Source organism: Homo sapiens, chromosome 6, assembly GCF_000001405.40.
Source record: "Homo sapiens chromosome 6, GRCh38.p14 Primary Assembly".
Classification (NCBI taxonomy): Eukaryota; Metazoa; Chordata; class Mammalia; order Primates; family Hominidae; genus Homo; species Homo sapiens.
Genome location: NC_000006.12, coordinates 3,410,350 through 3,432,708, shown reverse-complemented (window position 1 = coordinate 3,432,708; position 22,359 = coordinate 3,410,350). Strand labels below are relative to the sequence as shown.

The 22,359-nt window shown below is 44.8% G+C and overlaps 1 protein-coding gene and 1 long non-coding RNA gene across 17 annotated transcripts in view, besides 7 other annotated features; one reads left to right on the top strand and one right to left on the bottom strand.

The window, feature by feature from the left end:
- SLC22A23 (solute carrier family 22 member 23) overlaps positions 1-22,359 on the top strand; it is a 188,078-nt gene that overhangs the window by 24,342 nt on the left and 141,377 nt on the right. For 12 of the 16 annotated variants that reach the window (NR_104448.2, XR_001743575.2, XR_007059328.1 and 9 more), the window contains one exon: positions 16,854-16,957. The exons of 2 other annotated variants lie outside the window; for them this stretch is intronic. Coding sequence is in view for 8 of the 14 variants with exons in the window: in NM_015482.2 (NP_056297.1) it covers positions 16,854-16,957 (104 nt within the window). In the remaining 6 variants the exon portion in view is untranslated. Of the gene's footprint in view, positions 1-370; positions 15,292-16,853; positions 16,958-22,359 lie in introns of those variants that run through there. 2 more of the 16 variants (NM_021945.6, XM_047419244.1) reach the window with 2 other exon arrangements.
- Positions 4,271-5,184: an enhancer, noted in NCBI's record as "H3K27ac-H3K4me1 hESC enhancer chr6:3427759-3428672 (GRCh37/hg19 assembly coordinates)". NCBI's record gives its function as "activates a minimal SCP1, AML or CMV promoter by ChIP-STARR-seq in primed H9 embryonic stem cells {active_cell/tissue: H9 hESC(primed)}" and the evidence as "EXISTENCE:reporter gene assay evidence [ECO:0000049][PMID:30033119]".
- Positions 12,760-13,054: a silencer, noted in NCBI's record as "tiled region #10234; HepG2 Repressive DNase matched - State 5:Enh, and K562 Repressive non-DNase unmatched - State 8:EnhW". NCBI's record gives its function as "represses a minimal TATA promoter and a strong SV40 promoter by Sharpr-MPRA in HepG2 and K562 cells {active_cell/tissue: HepG2 | K562}" and the evidence as "EXISTENCE:reporter gene assay evidence [ECO:0000049][PMID:27701403]".
- Positions 14,730-22,009, bottom strand: LOC105374890 (uncharacterized). Its single transcript, XR_926397.3, has 3 exons — positions 21,798-22,009; positions 15,916-16,126; positions 14,730-15,384 (listed from the first exon to the last, which is right to left on the bottom strand). It is a non-coding gene; the product is annotated as an uncharacterized LOC105374890 (long non-coding RNA).
- Positions 17,257-17,758: an enhancer, noted in NCBI's record as "H3K4me1 hESC enhancer chr6:3415185-3415686 (GRCh37/hg19 assembly coordinates)". NCBI's record gives its function as "activates a minimal SCP1, AML or CMV promoter by ChIP-STARR-seq in naive H9 embryonic stem cells {active_cell/tissue: H9 hESC(naive)}" and the evidence as "EXISTENCE:reporter gene assay evidence [ECO:0000049][PMID:30033119]".
- Positions 18,823-19,322: an enhancer, noted in NCBI's record as "H3K4me1 hESC enhancer chr6:3413621-3414120 (GRCh37/hg19 assembly coordinates)". NCBI's record gives its function as "activates a minimal SCP1, AML or CMV promoter by ChIP-STARR-seq in naive H9 embryonic stem cells {active_cell/tissue: H9 hESC(naive)}" and the evidence as "EXISTENCE:reporter gene assay evidence [ECO:0000049][PMID:30033119]".
- Positions 19,380-19,674: a silencer, noted in NCBI's record as "tiled region #2334; K562 Repressive non-DNase unmatched - State 14:Gen5'". NCBI's record gives its function as "represses a minimal TATA promoter and a strong SV40 promoter by Sharpr-MPRA in K562 cells {active_cell/tissue: K562}" and the evidence as "EXISTENCE:reporter gene assay evidence [ECO:0000049][PMID:27701403]".
- Positions 21,906-22,050: an enhancer, noted in NCBI's record as "145 bp enhancer 213 fragment used in the MPRA reporter construct; PK_construct_1789". NCBI's record gives its function as "activates an SV40 promoter by MPRA in HepG2 cells {active_cell/tissue: HepG2}" and the evidence as "EXISTENCE:reporter gene assay evidence [ECO:0000049][PMID:23512712]".
- Positions 21,972-21,985: a transcriptional cis regulatory region, noted in NCBI's record as "HNF4 motif; enhancer activity is reduced when this motif is scrambled". NCBI's record gives its function as "necessary for full MPRA enhancer 213 activity {active_cell/tissue: HepG2}" and the evidence as "EXISTENCE:site-directed mutagenesis evidence [ECO:0005528][PMID:23512712]".

The window sequence follows — 22,359 nt, the reverse complement described above, 5'->3', positions numbered from 1 at the left end:
CCAGCCACTCTGCACTTCATCAGGAAGCATGTTTGTGCTTGCGTGCGTGTGTCATCCTGAGACGAACTGCATTCCTCTGAAAGCAGGTTAAACAACTGATGGTGTGCTTTTATTAGGATAACAGTTTAGAAATTTGAAGCCCCCAAATGTTCTGCATAAATGATGCATTTGTCATGATGGCTACTGAAATTACTGAGCCAAAGCGGAGAGCTAGAAGGAGACGCGTTCCTGGAAGTCCTCCCTCTGCCTGGTTTTACAGTGAGCTGAAGAGCAGTTGTACACAACAGCAAGGAAGATTGGTTCCTTTAGGTTCTGCAAAAGCAATTTCAGAATTCGGGGAAAAAACATTAAACATTTATTTTAAACTTAGGCTTCTTCAAAGTCTCACAGCCAGCCTACCCTCAAAGCCTGAGTGATTGTGGAAGGAGCCAGCGTTCACTCAGCAGAGGAACAGAGCTTTCCTGCCGCAGGCTCTCAGTGAAGATCCAGGGAGCAGAGGCGTGGGCAAGGAGCACTGGGCTCAGATGCAGGAGAACCGGTTTGAACCCTAGCACTACCGCCTCTACACTGAGGAACCTTGGGGATTACTCAGCCCCCTGGAACCTAATTTCCAAGGTAGAGATGACACCTATAGCATAAAGCTTTGTGGGGATTACAGAAAATGATGGATGTGCCGCTCCCTTTCAGCAGAGTGTGTGCTTTGAGATACGCATTTAATCTGAGCCCTTTTCTGCAAAGAGCTCCCAGTGGAGCTCAGAGGACAGTCATGTAACCAACAACTACAATGCATTATACAACCACCTGCAATCCCCCAACCATTAACTCTAGACCTCTAAAACAGAAGTATGGAAGCTCATAGGAAATGACCGAGGTCAGCCCTGGCAAATGGCGGTCTTTGTGGTCCCCAGCTGGCCACCTGAGCTGTGGACACGTTTGTTTGCCTTGTGCCCTCACTTTCAGAACCCCTCCTCCTTTGGCCTCATATTGTCCCTAGCTATTTGACATCTCCTCATTTAGGAGTGCTTCTCAGGTGCTCTCAAATGACCTCTTTTTCAAAATTTCCTCTCTATTCCTACTTTCCAAAACCAAAATATCTGGGCAGCTAATTTTAGCTAAGAGATGAAAGCAGTTCACACTAAGGTACGAAGGACTGATAGGATTGACCCTACTCTTTCTGAGCTCATCCATAACTTCAACCTGTTAATTGAGGACTGGCCAATAGCCCACAAACTTCATGCCCACCCATAGATGGTTTTGAAAGGCTGAACCTTTAACAGCCCTCCCTCCCTTTCTCCCTTCCCTGTCCCCTGCAGAGCCAGGCTTAGGAATTTGGTCCTCCTTTTCTGTGATCCTTGATCAGGATATTTCTAACAACAGTAGCATCAACCGAAAGCCCCAAATAAGGTTTGATTGAGTTAACATTTTCATTGCATTTTAAGTCTAGTCCTGATTAACATTCCACTCTGTGACATGGGTGCAGGGTGTGTCCTCACAGGACCTGCCCCCACGCCCATCTCACTCAGTGTCCAGTCCAGGTGCAGGTATCCCTCCTGGAAGCCTCCCTTGAGCCTGCCCCACATTTTTAAACCCTCACACATGCTGTGTTTTCTTTTTCTTTCTTTCTTTTTTTTTTTTTTTTTTTGAGACGGAGTTTTGCTCTTGTTGCCCAGGCTGGAGTGCAATGATGCAATCTCGGCTCACCACAACCTCCGCTTCCCAGGTTGAAGTGATTCTCCTGCCTCAGCCTCCCAAGTAGCTGGGATTACAGGTGCGTGCCACCACACCCAGCTAATTTTGTATTTTTAGTAGAGACGGGGTTTCTCCATGTTGGTCAGGCTGGTCTCAAACTTCCCACCTTAGGTGATCCACCCACCTCAGTCTCCCAAAGTGCTGGGATTATAGGTGTGAGCCACTATGCCTGGCCATATGCTGTGTTTTCTAACACAGACAACTCCTTTCCACTCCCCTCCAGCCTCATCCCTTCTGGTCTTCCTGGCATGGATAAGGCTGGCCGGGGCACACTCATAGCACCTTCTGTGTGTCTGCTGCCGCTACTCTTTACCCCTCAGCATAGTCCTTTCTTAAGCCTGCCCCAAACTCTAAAGAGCGAGGACAGCACTTTTTGCATTATTGTTTCCTTGGGGTGTGGCACTCAATACGTGACCAATAAATAGTCATGGAACACTGAGACTGTGGCACTGGTCTGCAGTCCCTCCTGGGGCCTGGCCCACAATACTGGGGACTGGGTGGTGGCACAAAGGAAGAAAACGTATTTACACAAGGCCAGGACGTAAGAGCTTGGGGTGGCCTGCCTTGAACATGTGAGAAGTCAAGGGGGTTGGTGACTGAGGGAGGGGGGCAGTCTGGTCACTCTTCCTTTTGGCGGGCAATGTCCTTTGATCCTTTCACCCATGGACAAGCTTGGGGAGAAAGGACGTCTCACTGCCAGCGGAGACGAGATGTCAGATAGAGAGGCCTGCACCTTGGAGATTTTCTCGCGAATATAACCTGTAAGACAACTGTGCTTTCTGCTGCCTAATCCAGGATTCTCTTCAGAGTGCTCTGCCATCCATGTTTAAGTTAATTGGGATACTGGCTAGCCCATTTCCTGAAGATAACACTTTCTTTAAACTTTTTTTTGTGTGTGCGTGTGGGAAAATGTACATAACATAAAATTAACCATTTTAAGTGTATAGTTCAGTGTAAGCCATTCACATTGTTGTGCAACCATCACCACCATCCATCTCCAGATATTTTTCATCTTCCCAAGCTGAAGCTATATCCCCATGAAACTATAACTCATCCCCACTCACCCCAGCCCCTGGTAACCCCCATTCTACTTTCTGTGTCTATGAATTTAACTACTCCAGGCACCTCGTATCAGTGGAATCATACCATATTTGTCTTTTAGTGATGGCTTATTTCACTTAGCATGTCTTCAAGGTTCATCCATGTGTAGCATGTGTCAGAATTTCCTCCCTTTTGCAGGCTAAATAATCCTCCATCATGTGCATGCACCACGTTTTGTTTCTTTGTTCATCCGTCAGTGAACACTTGAGTTTCTCTCAGCCCTTGGCTACTGTGAATAGGGCTGCTATGAACATGGGTGTACATATCTTTGTATGTCCCTGCTTTTGCTTTTGGGGGGTCTACAGACTATTTTTTAAAGGATAACATAGTGTAAATCATCGCCTGCATACTTCCTAATCGGCTTGGGCTAATGGACTTGGGCTAATGGAGCAACTGTCCTTCCGCAGAGAGGTGGGGACATGCAGGGCAGTGATTTGTTCTCAAGGAAGTGGAATTTTACACAGTTGACTGCTTCTTGTTGTGGTTGACCTTTTGCAGATCATTTCCTTAGAGTTTTCAATGTTTGTCCATATCTTACCAATTAGCAGTTATAAACTCTTGAGAAGACAGGAAAATAGTTATTTTTATTTTCTTGGATTAAAGGCAGAAAAACATTCCTCTGGTTCTTGTGAACATCCATTGATGTGCACGCATATCCCCCCTCTCTTCCTTCAGGTAGATTGTCAGGGGTGACAGGACTGTTGTACCCCAGCCTTTAAAATCCCAGAATTTCCACGTGTTATAATTTTGCACTGTGTTCACATATTAGGTCATGCAGGGCAAACAAAATATACATGGCAACATCTCTCCTATTCTGCAGCCCAGACATGCCCTTGAAAGTGTGTAGGAGGGAGAGGGTTTCCGAAGCCAAATACGTTTGAAGAGGGGGCTACAGAGCCCCCTCTTCAGGACTCATGATGCACATTAACATGCTAAAGGCTCTGAGAAGTCCTGAAAATGAGACACCAGCTTGACTTTGTTTCACTGAATGTTATCGCTAATTAGCCAGTTACTCCCTTTTTTAGATGAACACTTATTGTTACCCTTTTAGGCATGCTGCCTTCAAAAAAAGCTTCAACTGCTGGCTTAGAAGTGGGTGTGTCTTTCAAATGCAGCTAGACAGGGAGGAGAGTCCAGTTGTGAAGGGCTTCCTTATTGGATCGTTAATTTTATTAATATATTTTTACGTTGTCTTTTGCTGTCTATTTGCCTTTGAGTGAGACAGAAGGAAGAATTGGGGAATGCTGAATGGATCAACTTGACTGTCCTGTGGCAAGCTTTGTCAAGCCCGCTCTGCTGCATCAGTAGTGAATGGAGAGAATTATTTTGGCAGGGCTGGGATGGAGTTCAGGTGCCCTGGCTTGTTACGCAAAGCCAAGCCCATGAAGCCCGAGACACTGATTGCAGTTAGTACTACAGCAGAAGGGCCTTCTCATGTTCATCCCTGGAGTTCCCCCAAAAGTTCACACCCTCCAAGTCCTGTAATTCCAACTCCACAAGTAACAGAAGGATGTCCCCTCAGGAGCTGGCCATCCGAGGCCTGTCACCAATATTAAAACACTGTACCACTCTGAGCAGCCTGGAGGGTGAGGAGGGGCAGGAAGGTCTCTGATAAGAGACTCTGGTGAGGGCCGCGACTTGGGCAGCTTTGCAGCCTCCTTGGCATGAGAGGGTCTCTGCTCCCTTTCTCTGTCCACTTACTGAGGCTTGAGTTGTGACATGTGTTCTCTACTCCTTTCGCTGTCCCATACGCATCTGGCCAGGCCCCGGTGAGTTCTCAGGGTAGTGATCCTGGCTTTGGCCTAAGGATGCTTTGAGGTTCTATCTGAGGAAACTCTTAGAGAGCTGCCTCTCAGTCCGCTTGTCCCCAGGATGCCGGAGGCACTGAAGTGGAAGGTCGGGAGCCTTCCTGGCTCACCCCACCTCGGGTGCAGCCGACCTTCTTCCTCTCCCGACCAGAGGGCGGGGGCCGGGAGCCAGCCTGCACAGTCACACTCTGCTGTCATGCTGCCAGTTTGGCACGGTGTTTTTAGAAGATTAATAGTTAGTTCAAAGGAAGAAAATAAAAACACACTCTTGGGTGTAATCGTGTTGTCAGCTTTTGAGAACCATCCTACTTTTTTTTTTCTTTTGGTCAGAAAAATAGTATATTTAAGGAATGATTGCAGGAAGTGTTGGAAACGAAGCTGTTGCTGTTCCCAGGATGCTGCTGAGGAGGTCAAAGTGAAGGGCACGGCATCCTGAGAGGTGGTGGGAGGACCTGAAAGCACGGTAGAGCCCCGGGTAGACCTGGACCTGCTCCTCCTTCAGCATCTCCCAGCTATGAACACAGCTGCTCCCTGGAGGGCGTCTTCCATCCTCGTCTGGCCCACTTTCTAATCTGGTGCTGACTATGCAGACAGGATGTAAAACTAGTAAAATACCCCTTAATTTGGGTCAGTTAGGGGTGAGGCTAAAATGAATAGCTCAGACTCTAAGTAATCAAAACCCTTTTTGAAGTAGTTTTATTACTCTCAGATCCAAAATGTTACTTACCAACAGACATAAGCCCCCGAGGACCTGCTTAACTGACAGACAAAATTAATGAGTAATAATCACTTTGTGCCGGTTACTGCACCAGGCGCATTCCCGATGTTATTTTTGACTCTTGTAACAACCCTCTGGTGAAGGTTTTGCGACTCCTACGTCATAGATGTTAAAACTGAGCCCCCACACGGTGAAAAAGCTTGCCCTGATGACCGCGGGGCGAAACTAGAAATAAAACTGGGGCTTATCAGGCTCAAACTCCGAGCTCTTAGCCTGCATCCCAGCTGTGCTTGACAGCACATTCGCAAGCTGGCTCAGACCCCACTTTAGGCTCTGAATTCCATGCTACCAGGCTCTCGCTTACCATGCGATGCCCTTCCTCAGAGACAGTGGTAAGCCAGAGTCCAACCCAATGAAGACAAAGTCCAAATGGGTAAAAACCTGAAGGATTATGCTGTCCTGTAGCAGCAGTCACACCTACTACAGCTGAGAACTACTATAGTTGAGTAACTTTGGGATGTGGAGTAGGCCCAGGGCAGCCTCCAGCTTTGTGTACCTTGTTTGTAGCTGGTTGGTGTTAGCTGTTTTCATGGAAAAGGTCATCATTTAGATCCACGGTTGTACTGGCTTCTAGTTTGAGCTAAATAAAGCAAGAAAAAAAAAGAGAAAGAAAGAAAAAGGCATCATGTCATCTTCAAGATGGTTACACCAGTGTTGAAACAGGAGAAAAACTGGTTTACCATCTCAGGTACTCTGATTCATATGTTACAGAAAAAGATGAGTATTTGGCAGGAAGCCTAAGAGTAGGTCTCAATTAAAATGTTAATTTTTTTTTTTTCCTAATCCTTCCTGTTGTAAGAGTTTGGGACTAGAATGAAGGTAGTACCACCACACTGACCATTAGATTAGCAGTTGTCCTGGCTTGGCAGTAATTGACTTGTGAAATTTGTTGGGAGAGTCATGCGTCCCTGTGCATCAGGTCACCCTGTCTGAAAATGACATTTTCCACGGCAGTCTGGTATGGAGCAGCTGAGCCCAAGGAAACCTGGGCTCTGCTCAAGTCTGACTTGGCTATAAGCTTTTTTAATTCTGAATGAGTCACTTCACCTCTTATTCAGTTTCTTTGTTTTTAAAATAGGGAGTTGATCATAACTTTTTTCAACATTTCAGTACTAAAAATTCTATTTAAAAAAGATACTGTGATATTAGTATCTTAAACAGCCATCATGTATCAAATATCTGCTATTCACAGACCCCTGACAAATTATTATTTGTTTAGTCACTGTAACAATGAAATAACACCGAAGCCTGTCCTGTTTTCAGTATGCTACTTTGCTTCTATATGCACATAAAGTGTATTGAATATTTGTCCAGACAAATGCTATAACCTGTAACAAATTAATATAAACCAGAGAATTGTATTTATTTGTATGAACTAGGGCTGTTTCTTTGAGTTTACTGGGGGAAAGAACCTGAGTTTCAATCAGATACAGATTTATAATTTATGTAAGAGACACTTGATCTTGGACTAGCATCACTTCTCAGCCTCAGTTTCTTCATCTGTGAAATGGACATACTGGTAATAATGTCCATGCAATGGGCCTGTTGTGCTGTCAGGGTGCTTAGTCAAAGCAGCTGGCAGAGTCCCTAGCACAGGGTAGATACTTAATGAATCTTAGTTTCCTTTCTTCACCTAGAACAATGCTTAATTTAATGTCATAGATTTGTTCTATTAAGAGATAATTATTCGGCCGGGTGCGGTGACTCATGCCTGTAATCCCAGCGCTTTGGGAGGCCGAGGTGGGCGGATCATGAGGTCAGGAGATTGAGACCATCCTGGCTAACACGGTGAAACCCCGTCTCTACTAAAAATACAAAAAATTAGCCGGGCGTGGTGGCGGGCGCCTGTAGTCTCAGCTACTCGGGAGGCTGAGGCAGGAGAATGGTGTGAATCTGGGAGGCGGAGCTTGCAGTGAGCTGAGATTGCACCACTGCACTCCAGCCTGGGCAACAGTGAGACTCCATCTCAAAAAAAAAAAAAAAAAAAGAATTATTCATTGTTTTAAATAAATTTTTCATATACCCAATTTTCTACTGGCTTTTATAATAAAACTAGAAATATCTTTCCCTGGAGGAAAATTACCAATAGAGAAAAGTTTGGTGGAAACATTTAAAAACTATATTGCCTATATAAATTTGGTATAATAATTATGTATTAATTATTTAAATTAAATTATACTTGAAAAATAATCACAGAAAGAGGCTTAAGAAGATAAATAGCAGAGCACAGTGAACACGGGTGGACACGGGAGCATTCTGACTTCTGGGAGGGTCATTCCTACCTGACGTTAACACTCTGCCCCTCCCTCATTCTGAGCATTAGCTTAGGCATGAAGGAATAAGACATGGTCCCTTTCTTCAAGGAACTTGCAGCCTAGTGCAGGAGTCAGCAAAATTTTTCTAAAAAGGGCCACATAGTAAATATTTTTGGCTTTGCAGGCCATGTGGGCTCTGTTTCAGTTGTTCGACTCTGCCGCTGTAGTGCAGAATCCGCTGCAAATGAATATATGAATGAAGGAGCACGGCTGTGTGCCAATAAAACTTTATTTACAAACACAGACAGCAGGGCTGTGTTTGGCCTGTGGGCTACAGATTGCCACCCCCTGAGCTAGTGGAAGAAAGACTTGTAAACAGGCAATTATGATATATTGTAAGAACAGTCTACGTGTTTTATCATGAGTACAGGATGCTTCAGAGGCACAGATCTCCTGATCCGGTCTTGGGAGAGGATACCCCTCAATGGAGTTTATTAAACTTTATAGAAATAGAGAAGCATTTTCATTTGTAATTTTGTACCCCTTTCCCTTTTCACTTGGTTGTGTGCTTGCGAAAGTAATATGTGTTGCTTGAAAGAAAAAATGCGTGCAGTACAGAAAATCGGCCATACTTTGACTGACAGGTGACATACAATGTCAAATCATTTTGGTTGTGGTGAGGTTTGTCCTTTAAAGCAGGCATCAAGCCAGAAAAGTTGGAGTGGGAGAATGAGGGTGTTGTGGGAGTGGGGCACAGAAGAGCAACATGGGCCAAGGGCATGGAGGCTCTGGGGAGCTGTGAGCACTTTGGCAAGGCTGGGTCATGGCAGGGGTTGGGGCAGGAGGTAGTGATGAGAGAGGTAGGTGGGGGCAGCCACCCCTGGCTCTCTTCCGGAATTGATGGCAGCCAGTTTGTACATGGGAAGAATAGAAGGTGACAGGTGACTCCAGCCATAAAGGGAATGTAACAGGGTCCTGTTACAACAAGGCCATAGCCTGCGGCTGTGGGAAGCCACTGAGGCATTTGTTTTCAGCAAGTGGAAGATGGCTTTCCTTCACCCTCCAAGTTCTCTCCAGGATGGATCACCTGGGTCGTTACAGTCTTCTCATTTCAGAGATCCCCTGAGGCTCCCAGCAGAAGTTCCCCACCACTGGCTCTCTTCCGGAATTGATGGGGACATCTTAAATGTTAATGCTACAGTCCGGCTCTGTTGACACACTGTGTTATACTAGAAAATACCCTCCAGTAACACTTGAAACAACTTTTGAATTTCTCAAGTTAACAGTCTTCAAGTTATTTCATATAAATGAGTTGCTAGAAGCCTGTGTGCTGACTTCTTGCAGGGCATTAATAGCTGCTCCCTTTTGATGCTAAGGGATCTGTGGGGTTCCTTCCTTCCTCCCTCCCTCCCTGCATTCCTCCCCACTCCCTCCTTCCTTTTTAACTTACAGGGCTTACTCTTAATTTCCTTTCTTAGAGGTAGTTGATGAGGGCCGTTAATAAAATACACAGTGCAGAATTTGGAAAGACTCTTCAAGGTTTTGGTAGCTAAAAGGGCATTGCTTATTAATTATCTCTGCTGCTTTGTGGGTATCTATTCAGCTTCCCCAAATGCCATCGGGGCCCTGTACAAAACGAATAAGAACGTTCAATAATGCAAACCTCTGCTGAGAAAGATGTACCTCCCTATTTCCTTCAAGAAAAAGTAAAAGAAACAAACAAAGAAAAGTGACTCATTGTATTTTTCCCTCAGAGATAATCCTACACATCACTGAGGATGTGTTCAGGTGGTAATTTTTTCTGTTTTTCAAGTTCTACATCTCTAGCCCTTTAAAAATGATCAAATTCAGTGAGAACCAGGAAAGCCCCAGTGTCAGTAAATGAAGCAGTTTCTATTTCTCTCCCACCGGGAAGGCTGCACTGCGCAGAAGAGGAGCGGACAGTAGAGTTGTCATTTGAAGAAAAAAAGACAAAAAAAAAAATTGTTGCTTAAGGGTTCGAATGAATCGGAAATTACATTACTCATTAAAATGGGACTACGTGAAGTTTAAGAAATATGAGCAGCTTTAACGGTGTGGCTCTGGGGTGGGTTTCCTTAGAGAGGCTCAGAATGCAGGTCTGCTAGAGTTGGGGTGTATCTTCCATCCAGCAGGAAGGGTTTGCAATCTATTTTTGCCCCGGCTATTCCCCTCAATGTACCATGGTTATTATTTTAGCACTAAGGTAGAAAAAAGGAAAGATGAGGAGCAATTTGAGCAGCAATTAATATTCATTAAAGAACAGAGAAACAAAATTGAAAAGAGAAAAAATTTCCCCGGAGTACCCAAGGATGTTCATTATGTCATTCAAGGAAGCTTGCACCAATGCCAACTCTAATTGGCAGTTGTGTTGGCTACTGTTGACAGCAAACCTCCTAAAATTGGAGGATGAGCTTAGAGGCAAAAAGTAGAGAGTAATTTGAGGTTTTCAAGTCATGCAGTATATCTTGAGTTTTGATGGAATCTTTTAGGGGAAAAAAAATCTGTCAACTGTTAGATTTAAAATACTGAAAAACACATTTAGGTAGCATAGCCTCCCTAAATGTTGAGAAACTAATCGTAGCTAATGTGCTTCATCAGCCTGGCTTGTGGAGGGTGTTTCTTTTGTCCGTCTGTGACTCATCTTCCAGGGTGGACTCTGTGTGTGTGTTCTTGCCATTTCTATTGTCTGCAGTTAAGAAGTGCAGAGCACCGCACGTCCATGGTATATAAAACACTGGTTCATGAGAGGCTGCTGAAGCTCTGTTTTAGGGGGGAAAAATGCTGACCCTACATTTCTCTAAATTCCTGCGACCCAGTCAGGAACTTTGTTTTACTTAAGCTTTTGAAGTTTTAAGCAGTACTATCCTCTTTGTAGGGCTGAACAGAAATATTTTCTTTTATCTCAACTGACACTGCTCAGCTTTAAAACAGACAGTGTGCACAGCGATTGGTAAAACCCTCGTGGTTTGCTGATAGAACAATTTCAAATGGGGATCTCCACTACAAAAGATGAAACTTGGGGGAAAATTTTCATTCACTTCCCTAAAAAACACTTTTCGCTTTAGTCAGTGAGCATTAACGTGCTTAACCTTCAGGCTGTGAAGACGTGGTTTGTTCCCAGTCACTTTCAGAATAAGCTTCCTGTAGGCCTGATTTATAGGATTGTCTTAAAATACGTGTTTCCGAGAAGGCGAAAAGGTTTTTCCTTTGTTGGTTTGTTTTTTAATGATTTTGTCTTTGCCTCCCCACCATCGCTACCACTGTGGGAGTTTACATTATTTTTCCCTACATTTTTTTTCTGTCATTTGAGGGCTTATAGATTCATCGTAGAAAGTTTGGAAAAGTCAAGAAAAGTATAAAGTTGAAAATAAAACTCAGTCTTATTTCTACTCTTTAGAGATAGTCACTTTAAAATATTTTGGAATATTTTCTTTTAACTTTTCCTGCATATACAAACATCTCTTCTAGTCACCGTTTTTCCATTCTGAAGCTTTCATACAATTATATCATGAGCATTTTCCTCGATCATTCATTTTCAAAAGCGAAATTTTTAATGGCACTATGGTATCATTGACATTGAGTCAGGTTCTCAACTTTTGCTCTGATAAGTTACAAACAGTGAAAATCATTGCATAGAGACCTCTGTGGGTGTCTCTGATAATTTACTTGAGATAAAGTTCCAAGAAAGGGAATTGCTGGGATAAAGAGTAGACCCCATTTAAAGTAATGTGCTGCATATTGCCAAATTGTCTTCCAGAAAAACAGTGCCTAGTTTATGCTCCTTGTACAGATTTGTACCTCTTTGTTTCTCCTTCATCTTTAGAAATTTTTTTAAAATTTTCTTTTTGAAAAACAAAATATTGTCTTTTTTTTTCCTTTTCTTTTTTCTTTTTTTTTGAAACAATGTCTCATTCTGTCACCCAGGCTGGAGTGCAGTGGCGCAGTCTTGCTCACTGCAGCTTCTGTCTTCCAGGTTCAAGCAATTCTCATGCCGTAGGCTCCTGAGTAGCTGGGATTACAGGCATGCACCACCACACCCAGCTAATTTTTGTATTTTTAGTACAGGATTTCACCATATTGGCCGGGCTGGTCTAGAACTCCTGACCTCAAGTGACCCTCCCACCTTGGCCTCCAAAAGTGCTGGGATTATATGCGTGGGCCACTGCACCTGGCCGTCTTCATTAGTGAAATCAAACATTTCCCAAGTGTTTAACTATTTGTGTTTCATATATGGTTAATCATGTGGGCGCTTAACTCAATTTCTGGTTGCAGTATTGGTGTATATTGATATGTAAGTGGATATATATTACAAATTTAGGTCTTTATAATTTTGCTTATTGTATTTTTGATGTGTAGATTTTTAAAATAGTAATTAATAGTAAAGTAGTAATCATTAGACTGTTACAAAATCTACCAGTTGTTTCCTTAGGTAGTTTTTCCCCCTTAGTTTTTCTCTTTGGAGATTTTATCTTCACTTCAAAATTAAAGAAGCAATCTATTTGCTTCCAATTTTTTTATGTTCTTATTTTACATTTTATCATAGAATTCATTACTGTGGAAAATAAGGTTGTTTTCTTTATCTCCCATTTATTTTCCATCTTCTTTAGAAATTTTCTGAGTCTCCTTGATGAATGTTTCTCCACTCTGGCAAGTCAAGCAATTGAATTATTCCTTTCAAAATAATATTAATGGTATTTTCTTTAGCTTATCCTTAAACTATATAGGTTCTCTGACTCCACAGTTTTTGGTTTTTTTTTTTTTTTTCTCATTTTGCTAGAACACATAGCAACTAACGTGTGTGAAATGTAGACACACTCTGGAGTCATTTGTCTCACCACTTAGTCATGGCTCAGAAGCGTCACATGGCATCATCATGAATGTCCCTGGTCTTGGAAAAATGACAAAGCAAGCAAGCCTAAGATTATGAAATGAGGCTGTGACTTTAGTGCTTTTATGATCTTGTTAAACCTGCTGATGAGGTGTTAACAAGCTTAATTAAAGGATGCTTTTCATTGTTCTGTAGGGAATGGATTTGAGGGAGGTTAGAGTTAATGCAGAGAGACTCTTGTATTAGTTCAGGAGAGGGAGGATGGATGGTGACTTGGCCTTATCTTGTCTGCTTACCCCCTGCAAATTCCATCCCAAGGAAATTTGACCAGAGAACAAGGTTCAATTTGCAAATGACAGAAGCCACTCTGGTATTTCAGGAGATAGGGACTGAATACAGGGAATAGTGCTTACTGAGTTGCTAGAGCAACTGTAAACGGGCCTCTGGAAGGATTCCTGGCAGAGCTAGCCTGTCCAGGGAACTGTGCCTCCATTAGGAGGCTGAAGAATTAGAAGGTCACTGTCCCAACCACTGGTTCCAAGATCACACCTCCTTAGCCACCTCCAGAACTGTTGGCTCCCAGACCACCCAACCCTTGCCAGAGCTGACCAGCAAAATGGATGCCTCCCTTCCTCCCCTCTGAACTCTCTTCCTAACTCAGGTCAGCCGGAAATTCGAACAAGGTTGCACACAGAAAGTTATTTTGGGGTGTGCACCTGATTGGCAGGACCAAAATCACATTTGAAACCATAGGTATACCAGAATCTGGAAGTATGATTTTTGGCCTCCCAGCCCACACTATAGGAAGCCCACACCAGAAGGAGACTGGAATCACATGAGTGAGCGCCTGCCCCATCCCTATAAATCGGGGTGTCTGTGGGGGCAATGGAGCACGGATGGGATGTTCAGGATATATGTGAAAGGCAGAACCTGCTGGAATTGGTGATTGATTTGATGGGGAGGGAGGTGACTAGGGTAACGTCAGAGACAAAACCCGTTACATTCAGTTCTGGTTTTGTACTTTTTATAACGTTACTCCTGTTATATATTTCTTTAATCTGAAAAGTTATAAATTGCTTTAAACATTGCTTACCCAACTGGTCAGTGACATGACCAGTTGCCATATCTTATCTAGAGCAATGTGAACAAATTTCAAGAGCCAGGTGACCTCAAAGCTTCCTCATACTTCTGAAATTCTTTAGGAGATTATACTGTGTCTGAACATATTTTCTTTTCCCGACACATTTTTGTCAATACCAGAAGCAGAAGTCAAACAAGGGTGTCGGTGCCATGGGTTCCCCCAGCGCTACCCTACCCTGCTAAACGGCGGTGCCTCCAGGATGGCAAGGGCGGTGTTGCAGGCGGATCCCCAGGCATGAGTAACCCTTATCATGGTAAACTTGCTGGGCCTGGGAATCCAGTTGGTTTACTTGTTGCTTCAGATATGCTGTCTATTCTTGTGCCTAGTTGAGGAGGGTTTAAGGTAGCAGGTGGCTGCCTTGCTCTGGGTTTCCTGCACCCCCTCCCCAGGGGGAAGCCCAGAGGCTGGGAACTGTGGAGCCAGCAATACTTCTAACCAGGCTTCCTCTCCCTACCAGGCGTGTGAGTGACTCAGTCTCCCTCCACTGTGTTCATTTTCCACTGTGGCACTGTTAATGGATAGGGCTGATCACTGAATGTCTTATTAGCTAGCACCTTAATGGGGTCATGGCTGCCCAAGGCCAGGTCTGGTCATTGCTCAGGTGGCTGAACTCACAACAGTATTGGCAATTTCCTCCAGTCCCCTAAATGCTTTATTAAAATTTCTTCTGCCTCCTGGCCATCTCATAGAAGCATAATATACTCATTTGCATCCTTTAACCTCAAGTAAACTCATCAATGGGAAGTCTTGGGGGAGACATGAAAGCATTTCAGATGACTCCCTGCCATCAAGACAGCAGCTGGTGCCCTTCTCCCCGGCAGCAACCTGGGGTCGGGATGTGTTCCTCTCCTGCCAAGATTGTGCCCGACTGAGGCTCCCAAAGGCATGATGCAACTGGGAGATGAGTGGTTACAGGTGTTGAGAGCACCTCCTCTCCCAGAGTGTATAAACCAAGCTGGAAAAACAGAATGTGCACCCACTGTGATTTATGAAGCTGTCACTCACGTTTTAAGGCAAAACCTGTATTCCTGAAGTTAGAAATAGGTTGTGTGGTGAAAGGTTTTTATTATCAAAAATACATTTTTTCCTAGAAACAGCATACATATGTGAATGTTCGTTTTCCAGGCTTGCCTCCAAAAGCTCACTGAACTCATCACCTAGCTGTACGACCCTGCATTTGCAGAGCAGAGCAGCAGCAGCCAGTAGTCTTTTGCATGGTTCCCACAGCGTTTTTGCTTCTCCCTGCTCTTGGGAGTTGTTTGAACCCCAGCCCAAGACAGTGAAGCTCATTCATTGTCTTCAAAATGGCAGGGCAGTGTTGGCCAGTAGTTCTCAGAGTCGCAGGGCAGGTTTGCCGAACCACACTGCTGTGCTTACCTGCAGGAGTCTTCATTCAGTGGGCCTGGGATGGGGCCCAAGAACTTGCCTTTTCTAACTAGTCCCCAGGTGGTGCTGATGCTGCTGGTCCCTGGAGCAGTTTGAGGACCACTGGAGCAATCATGGAAGGAAGTTAACCCTGTAAGGAGCTCCTGTGTCTGAATTCTTAAGAATCTGTGCAACCAGCAGTGCCCTTCTCCCCAAATTCATGAATAAACCCTGACAACAGCAAATTCCAAGCCGTCTTTTATTGATGAGGCCCTTGTGCAGTCTGTGCTTACATTCCCATATTCCGTTTCTTCCTGGGCCTGGCGTTGCAAATCACTCTGGAAGCAGATGGGGTAGAAAAAGAAGTCACCCTCCTCAGACCTCTGGAAAGCATACCTGTGTTGGGGGCATCGGCGAGCCAGTGTGTGTCCCAAGGAGTCCAGGGCAGAAGTGGGGACATTGTGACAGGCAGTGGCTTTCTACTTATCCCAGCCAGGCACCTTTCCCTGCATCCACTGACACAGAGCTTGGCTTTTCCTGAATTTTAGTGAAGCTGAGAACCACAGCTGTGGCCTCAGGGGCCTCGATAAGGCTCTGGAAGTTTGGAAACATGAGGCAGGACCTGAGCTTACAGTGCCCTCTAAGGATCCTCTGTGCTGCAGTCTGGGTAGCATAGAGACAAGGGGCGGGGGGAGACATCTAAGAAGACAGAACTAGGATCAGGGGTCAGCCCACCACCTTCCATGTTCCCCATCCCCTCCAATCCTGCCTCTGCTCCCAGAACACCTCCCGCTCCGGTGTTCCCAAATGCATTGGCGTGAATTTCTTCAGCTTCTTCCCTGCACCACCCCACCCCCGTCTCCACTGACCTGGAGTTGCGCGTCCAGACCAGAAGCTTTGCCCACTTCTTTGCAGCAGAAGCAGGGGCATCTAGACCCCCGGCTCTGTGTCTCCATGGCCTGGCCAGCAGGGACCCTGCTTATGTGCCCCTCTGGCCCAGATGAAAGCTGCATGTGGATTTGAGTCCACACTTGGACACACATCCCTTAGAGGGAACAAACAGGGGTTTACGTCCTGATCCTGCAAGTGGAGAAAAGAAAAATGAGAAGATTTGTATTTGTTTGTATTTTTCTTATTAAACAATATAATAGTCTGAATGTTGTATTTACTAATTGACCGGCTTTCTCTCCAAGGAGAGCAGATGGCTTTAGAGGGAAACATGGGAAAACGCAAGGGACACTTCCAAGGGCAAAATAGAATGTTTAGTTAAAGTTCATATTTCAACATTTACTACTAATGCTCGCTTTTATTTTTAAGACTCCTCATAAAGTTTGGGGAATGTTTTGGGATGAAAATGCAAAAGTTACTTTTAACCTCCTCATGTCATCACGATGCCCATGCAGAAAGTTGACAGGGTCTCCCAGCCCCTGGGCACTCAGAGCAGCTCTTCATGGTGAGGGACCACTGGTCCTCAGGGATGCCTGGTCTCCGTGGCTGCCCACCTCTGCCTCAGTTTACATTTCCCGTGGTGGTTGGGACAGAAGAATACACATCCCCAGACTTCCTGCGTCATTCTTTGCAGACTTATAATCTGTCCCAGACTAAAATGTTACATTTCCTTTTGTGGGCAAATTATATGTCTCATTGGATTTTCAAAACCATGGAAGAGACTCTGACTGGTGTATATGGCATGGTACTGGCAACGGTGCGGTGGTCCCTGCAGGGTTATTGTATTGCCCTTATAATTGAGTACGACTAGCTCTGTGTATGTTTCTCTCTGATTTATTTTCTATTTGCCCCTCTCTAGTGGGATCTTGTGTGTGATAATGCCTGGAAGGTCCATATCGCTAAGTTCTCCTTACTGGTTGGATTAATCTTTGGCTACCTAATAACTGGATGCATTGCTGACTGGTGAGTACCAACATGCCCGCCGCACGAACCTTTGGAGGCCACAGCACGCCTTTGCTGGCTAAAGAAAAATAGTCAGTGTTAGCTTACCATGACTGTCTTTTCCCAGTGCCAGAGCAGAAGGCCAAAGCTGCCACGTGGAGAATGCAGAGCTCGGAGAAATGGCCCATGCATGTAGCAGATCATTTGGAAGTGTGAATTTAAATTCAACGCAATTCTCTAGCTTCTAGAATATAGCAAAACCAGCCTGCAGCCCCATCTACTTCTAACCTTTGACGTTTCATTAGAAAGAGCTTGAAGACTTATGTGCAGGGCTGCAGGAGGTGGATGCACTAAGGGGCAGCTGCAGAAGATGCATTAAAAAATAGGGGATGGGGAAGCTAAAGACCCTTCCCCCATGCGAGCTGAATGAGTCAGGCAATGCTGATTAGCTCCTCTACATGTCACGTGGATTTTGGAGAGGGGCAGTCCTTGGCCAGGAGATGCCTCTGTGGGGTCTGTAGGGAGCTGCACCTTGAGTGATAAAGAGCATTTCGGTAATACAGATGGGCGCTGTGGGCAGGGGAGGGTGGTGGCCAGAGGTGAGAATGCATATGCAATAATGATAACATTAGCAGCTGAAAGATTACCGTGTAGCAGGCACTGTGCTAAGTAGTTCCATACATTAACATCTCCTTACAACACCCCGAATAGGAGATGCTATTATTACCTGTGTTTTACAGTTGAAAAAGCAGAGAAGTGTAAGTAAAATCTCCAAGTTCACTCAGCTTTAAGCTGGAGAGCCAGAACTTGAAACTCAGCCACCACGTGGCCTCAGAGCCTGCCCCTCCACCAGGATGCTGCAGCGCTTTTATTTAAGGCATTCTGTGGTCACAGGGGCAGCAGCGGTGAGGTGTCTAAGCAGGGAGGCAGTTGCACAATGTTGACAGGTTTTTCAAGTAGCGAGATTGCTCAGGAGAGAGGCGTAGTGTAACTGTCTCCCCAGCTTACATTCTTTTATCTTTAAAGGATTTTTTTTTTTTTTTTTTTTTTTGGTGAATCGAGACATCTTGGCCTTGAGGAAATAAGGGCCCAGAGTGATATGGAACAAATTCTATAGGTTCTGTGACCTCTGCACCTCAGTTAACTGAGAATGCTGGCCAAGGCAAGTGCCTGGGCGGACAGCAGCAGAGGGTCACATTACACATGTGGAAAATTTCTTCCAAAACCCAGCGTGTATTTGGGAGTTCCTTGAGCTGACATGTAATGTGATTTCCTGTGTGCTTGACATCTGCCTCATCATGATTTGCAAGTGCTTCTCATGGACACGTTCTCTGTGGACAGCAACAGAGAAGCAGTCAGTGACCTCTGGAGACCTACGCAGGGGACCTCTTGGGGGCTTTCTTTGGTAGAGGCAACACAGGGTTTATTTTTTTAAACCAAATACTTGAGTTCATAGGTTTCTAGTGTGGGCTATATTGGTCTAAAATATACCGTTTCCCAGAAATCTACATTGAAATAGGTTAGAAAAATATACTAATATAATCCATGTCACTGTCTTTCTAAAAAAATGCAAACTCAACTGGGGTTGTAGTGTCCTTATTCAATAAATAATTTAATAGAAAAGTAAAAATCGACTTTTATGAATGAACCAGTCTGTAACAGTTTAAATTGTTTAAAGATTGTTTTCTTAACTTTCTTCTTGTACACACATGTGATGTGGCCTCCCTGATCACACACCAGGCCTGAGGACAAAAGAGTTTGGGTCTTGCTCTTAGAGTAACCAGAAGTCTGACATCGCAAACCATTTCTCTGCAGTTGCTTTTCTGAGGTTCCTCCTCAGATGGGCAAGATTGAGGGGGTGCCCCGGGAATCAGGGGCAGGCTGCCTGAGTGGTAGTTTTTGAACATTTTGAGTGGCCTTCCCTTTCAGTTTGAAAGCTTGGTATTTTCCAACTCCATTTTCTGGCATTTGACTCCCTGCTTGAGCCTTGCTTAAAAGGAAATAAACCCATTTAAAGGGAACTCCAGACCTCTCGGCTATGGGCCCTGTTTCATGGCTGCAGGGGAAGTGGATCAAGTCATACAATATGCTTCCTAAGGCTGCAGTCAGCATTTAGTAACATTTAAGTAGTACACTTCTTTCTTCAAAAAGTTACATTTTTGACACCAAGTTTTGTCTGGGGATGTTCACTGGGTATTGGTATAGAATCTGCTAGCTCAGGTGGGTGGGAGGGCCGATGGCCAGTGGCCCCAGGGATGCGCTCACTTCTTCGCTGTGTTTGTTACTGCAGCAGCCCTCTGCCCCCTTCCCCAGCCTGCCCTGGGAAGCTGGCCAGTATGGGCTTCCACAGAGGACCCCTTGCCCGCCAGCTCCTGGCCGAGTGTGGCCAGTGGGGAGCACCAGCTGTAGATCCTCAGGGGAGAAGAGAGTGAGGTCAGGCACTTGTATGCCCAGCTTGCTCTCTGCCAGGTTGGAGGGGCCAGCCACCTCCTGTCCATGACCTCCACACAGCACCTCTTTCTCTCTGGGGCCAGGACCATCCTTCCCCTACTCCCTGCTGTCGAGAGCCGCAAGGTCAAACACCGTCTGTTGTGGGTTCCCTCTCAGCTTGTTTACTCTTCTGTAAATAATCCCTTTATTACCATCTCCTCCAGTCACTTCATTTGAGTGGGACCTCTGTTTCCTGTTGAGACCCTGTGTCGGTTCTCTATGGCTGCTGTTACAAATTGCTACCTGCTTGGTGGCTTCCAAAGCCCACATGAATGATCTTCCAGCTCTGCAGTTCACAAGTCCAACAAAGGTCTCACTGGTCTAAAGTCGGGGTGTCAGCAGGGCTGCATGCCTTTTTGCAAGACCCAGGAGATAATCTGCTCCCCTGCTTTTTCTAGCTTCTAAAGGCCACCTGCATTCCATGGCTCATGGCCCCATCCTCCGTCTTCAGAGCCAGCAATGTCAAGTCAAGTCCTTCTCACACCACTACCTCTCTGGTTCCCTGGAGCCAGGGGAGGTTTTCCTTGTCATTAGATTGGACCTACCTGGAAAGTCACCTCATCTCAGGGTCCTTAAGCTTAATCTCATCTTCAGAATTCCTTTTGCCATGAAAGGTAAAATACTCACAGGTTCTGAGGATTAGGACATGGACAGATTTGAGGACCATTGTTCTGCCCACCACAGATCCTAAGTGATAAAGTCCTCTGCATTACGGACAAGGACTGTGGCTTTATCAGTCCTCTCTGAGAGGGTTCTGCCCTGGGAGCCAGTTTCTAGGAGAACCATCCATGCTTGTAACTAACATGTATTGAACGCTTGCTGAAGCATTTGTTCATATCCACTCCTGTCGATAACATTATGAAGCAGACATTAATTGGCCCTTACCAAAGGGAACTCCAGGCTCGTTTGAACAAGCCTGGTCTTACTCAAGGTCACATAGTTCAGAAGTGGTGATCCTGGATTCAGAACCAACACACTCTGACTTCAAAGACAGTGTTTGCCCTGTAGACCTTGATAAGTTTTACTTGTTGATTTTAGCCACCATTTTTCGGGAGGCAGCACGCTTAAAAAAATCGAACATCTTTTCTAAAATATCAGAACAGAGCAAACCATGTTTGGTAGGCATCAGGGACGTGGAAACGCAGGAAGGAATGAGCACTACAACATTGCATTATTTCCTCTGCGCCAGGCGTTGCATCTGTGCCCATCATCCCCCCTAGTGAAGGATCTCAACACTCCACAATGTGGGATGCTTATCCCCATTTCACAGACCAGGAAAGTCAAGGGTAATGCAAAATGTTAGAGTTAGTTCATTTTTCTTCATTTTAGGAGAATGACTAAAGCTGTATTTTAAATTTATTTTTGTCAATGAGTTAGATTTGGACAAAATCAGCTACACAGTCTTTGCTGGTAAGGGCTTCCTGATCCCAGCACTGGACAAGGGAAAGTAATGGCTAAAATCTCCAGGTGAGATTATTGACTTACATTGAGCTCCTAGCCTTGGCCTTGTTTCACTAAACCAAAGTGACTGATGGGAATGGTTAGAACTAAAAGTTCTGAGTGTAATTTCATCCTGTTGTTCCTTTCCCTGTATTTTCTTAAAATTCCATCTATCTCTATAGGGTAAGGCCATGCCTTAATTTTTTTTTTTGAAGTTTTATTGACATATAATTTGCATCCCATAAAACCCACCCATTTTAAGTGCACAATGGAATGAGTTTTAGTATATTTGCAGAGTTGTACAGCCATCACCACACTCTGAATTTAAAACATTCCCATCCCCTCAAAGGATGATGGAAACATCACCCCCCAGTCCTGGACAACCACAAATCTACTTTCTGTTTCTGTATATTTGTCTTTTCTGGGCATTTTACTTGCATGTAGATGTCTTGTAATTAACACGTCTAGGACAGTTCGAGCCCCTCAGCTACCCTTTGTGGTACTGGGGACAGGAGGTCTGGATTTTTCCCCCTTTTTTCTCCTGGCAAATAGCATCCACTCTGCCCCCATTTCTCTGAGTTATCCTTTAGACCAAGCCAATCGTGTTTGATGGAGAGTTATTGTTGCCATTTTATTTCTAATCGGTTAATCAAGGAAAGATGGAAAGTTAGCATGGGGCCACAGGAACTGGTGACTTCCCCATTCTTGTGGACCACCCTCTACTGTCCTCCCAGGCACTCTAGAAGCACATCGCCCCCTAGTGGTCACTGATCTGAAACTGGCCAGCTCCAGAACCCACGAATTGAGGGTATCTGTGGCCGTTTCCAGAGAATCATCACAGCCTGGGCTCCCTGCCTCTCAGTCCAGCCGAGGGGCTGCACTGTCAGCTCACTATCAGGTCACTGGGCATTTAAAGTTCACGCTGTCTTACCTTAGTGTGTGATCCCTTAAAAATTACTTCTCGTCGTGTAGCTGAAACAAATTGACAGATGGCTTGGCCCTGGCTCGGATAGGCTGTGTGTAGGATCAGGTATCTGACTTAGTTAACAACCTGGGGAGAGGAAACAAAGCCGCTTTGCTTGGTGACCATGTTGACTTTTGATCCAATCCCAAAGGTCAACGATTTCTCAAGACTTTTTATGCTGGGTGTATCAAGGTTCCTGTTTGGAGAATTATTAATTTTGTTCCCCTTGCCTTGAATTATATCACTATACACTCAGAAATAGACTCAGCAACAGGAATTGGGCTCAAGTCTGAATTCTCTTACTCTGTAATTGGTTGATCTCTGCTCCCTTATCTCGAGAATTAGGGGGTTGGGCTAAATCTCCCTTTTTACCCATAGTAGCCTAGGATCTAGTGAAGTGGGTATAGATGGCACAGGACTTTTTACCCAGTACTCATTCAACATATATTGAGTGCCTGCTGGACACCGGGTTTCAGCATCTAGCGTCATTGTCTTGTTTCACAATGATTCCTAACTTTTTCCCTCTCCA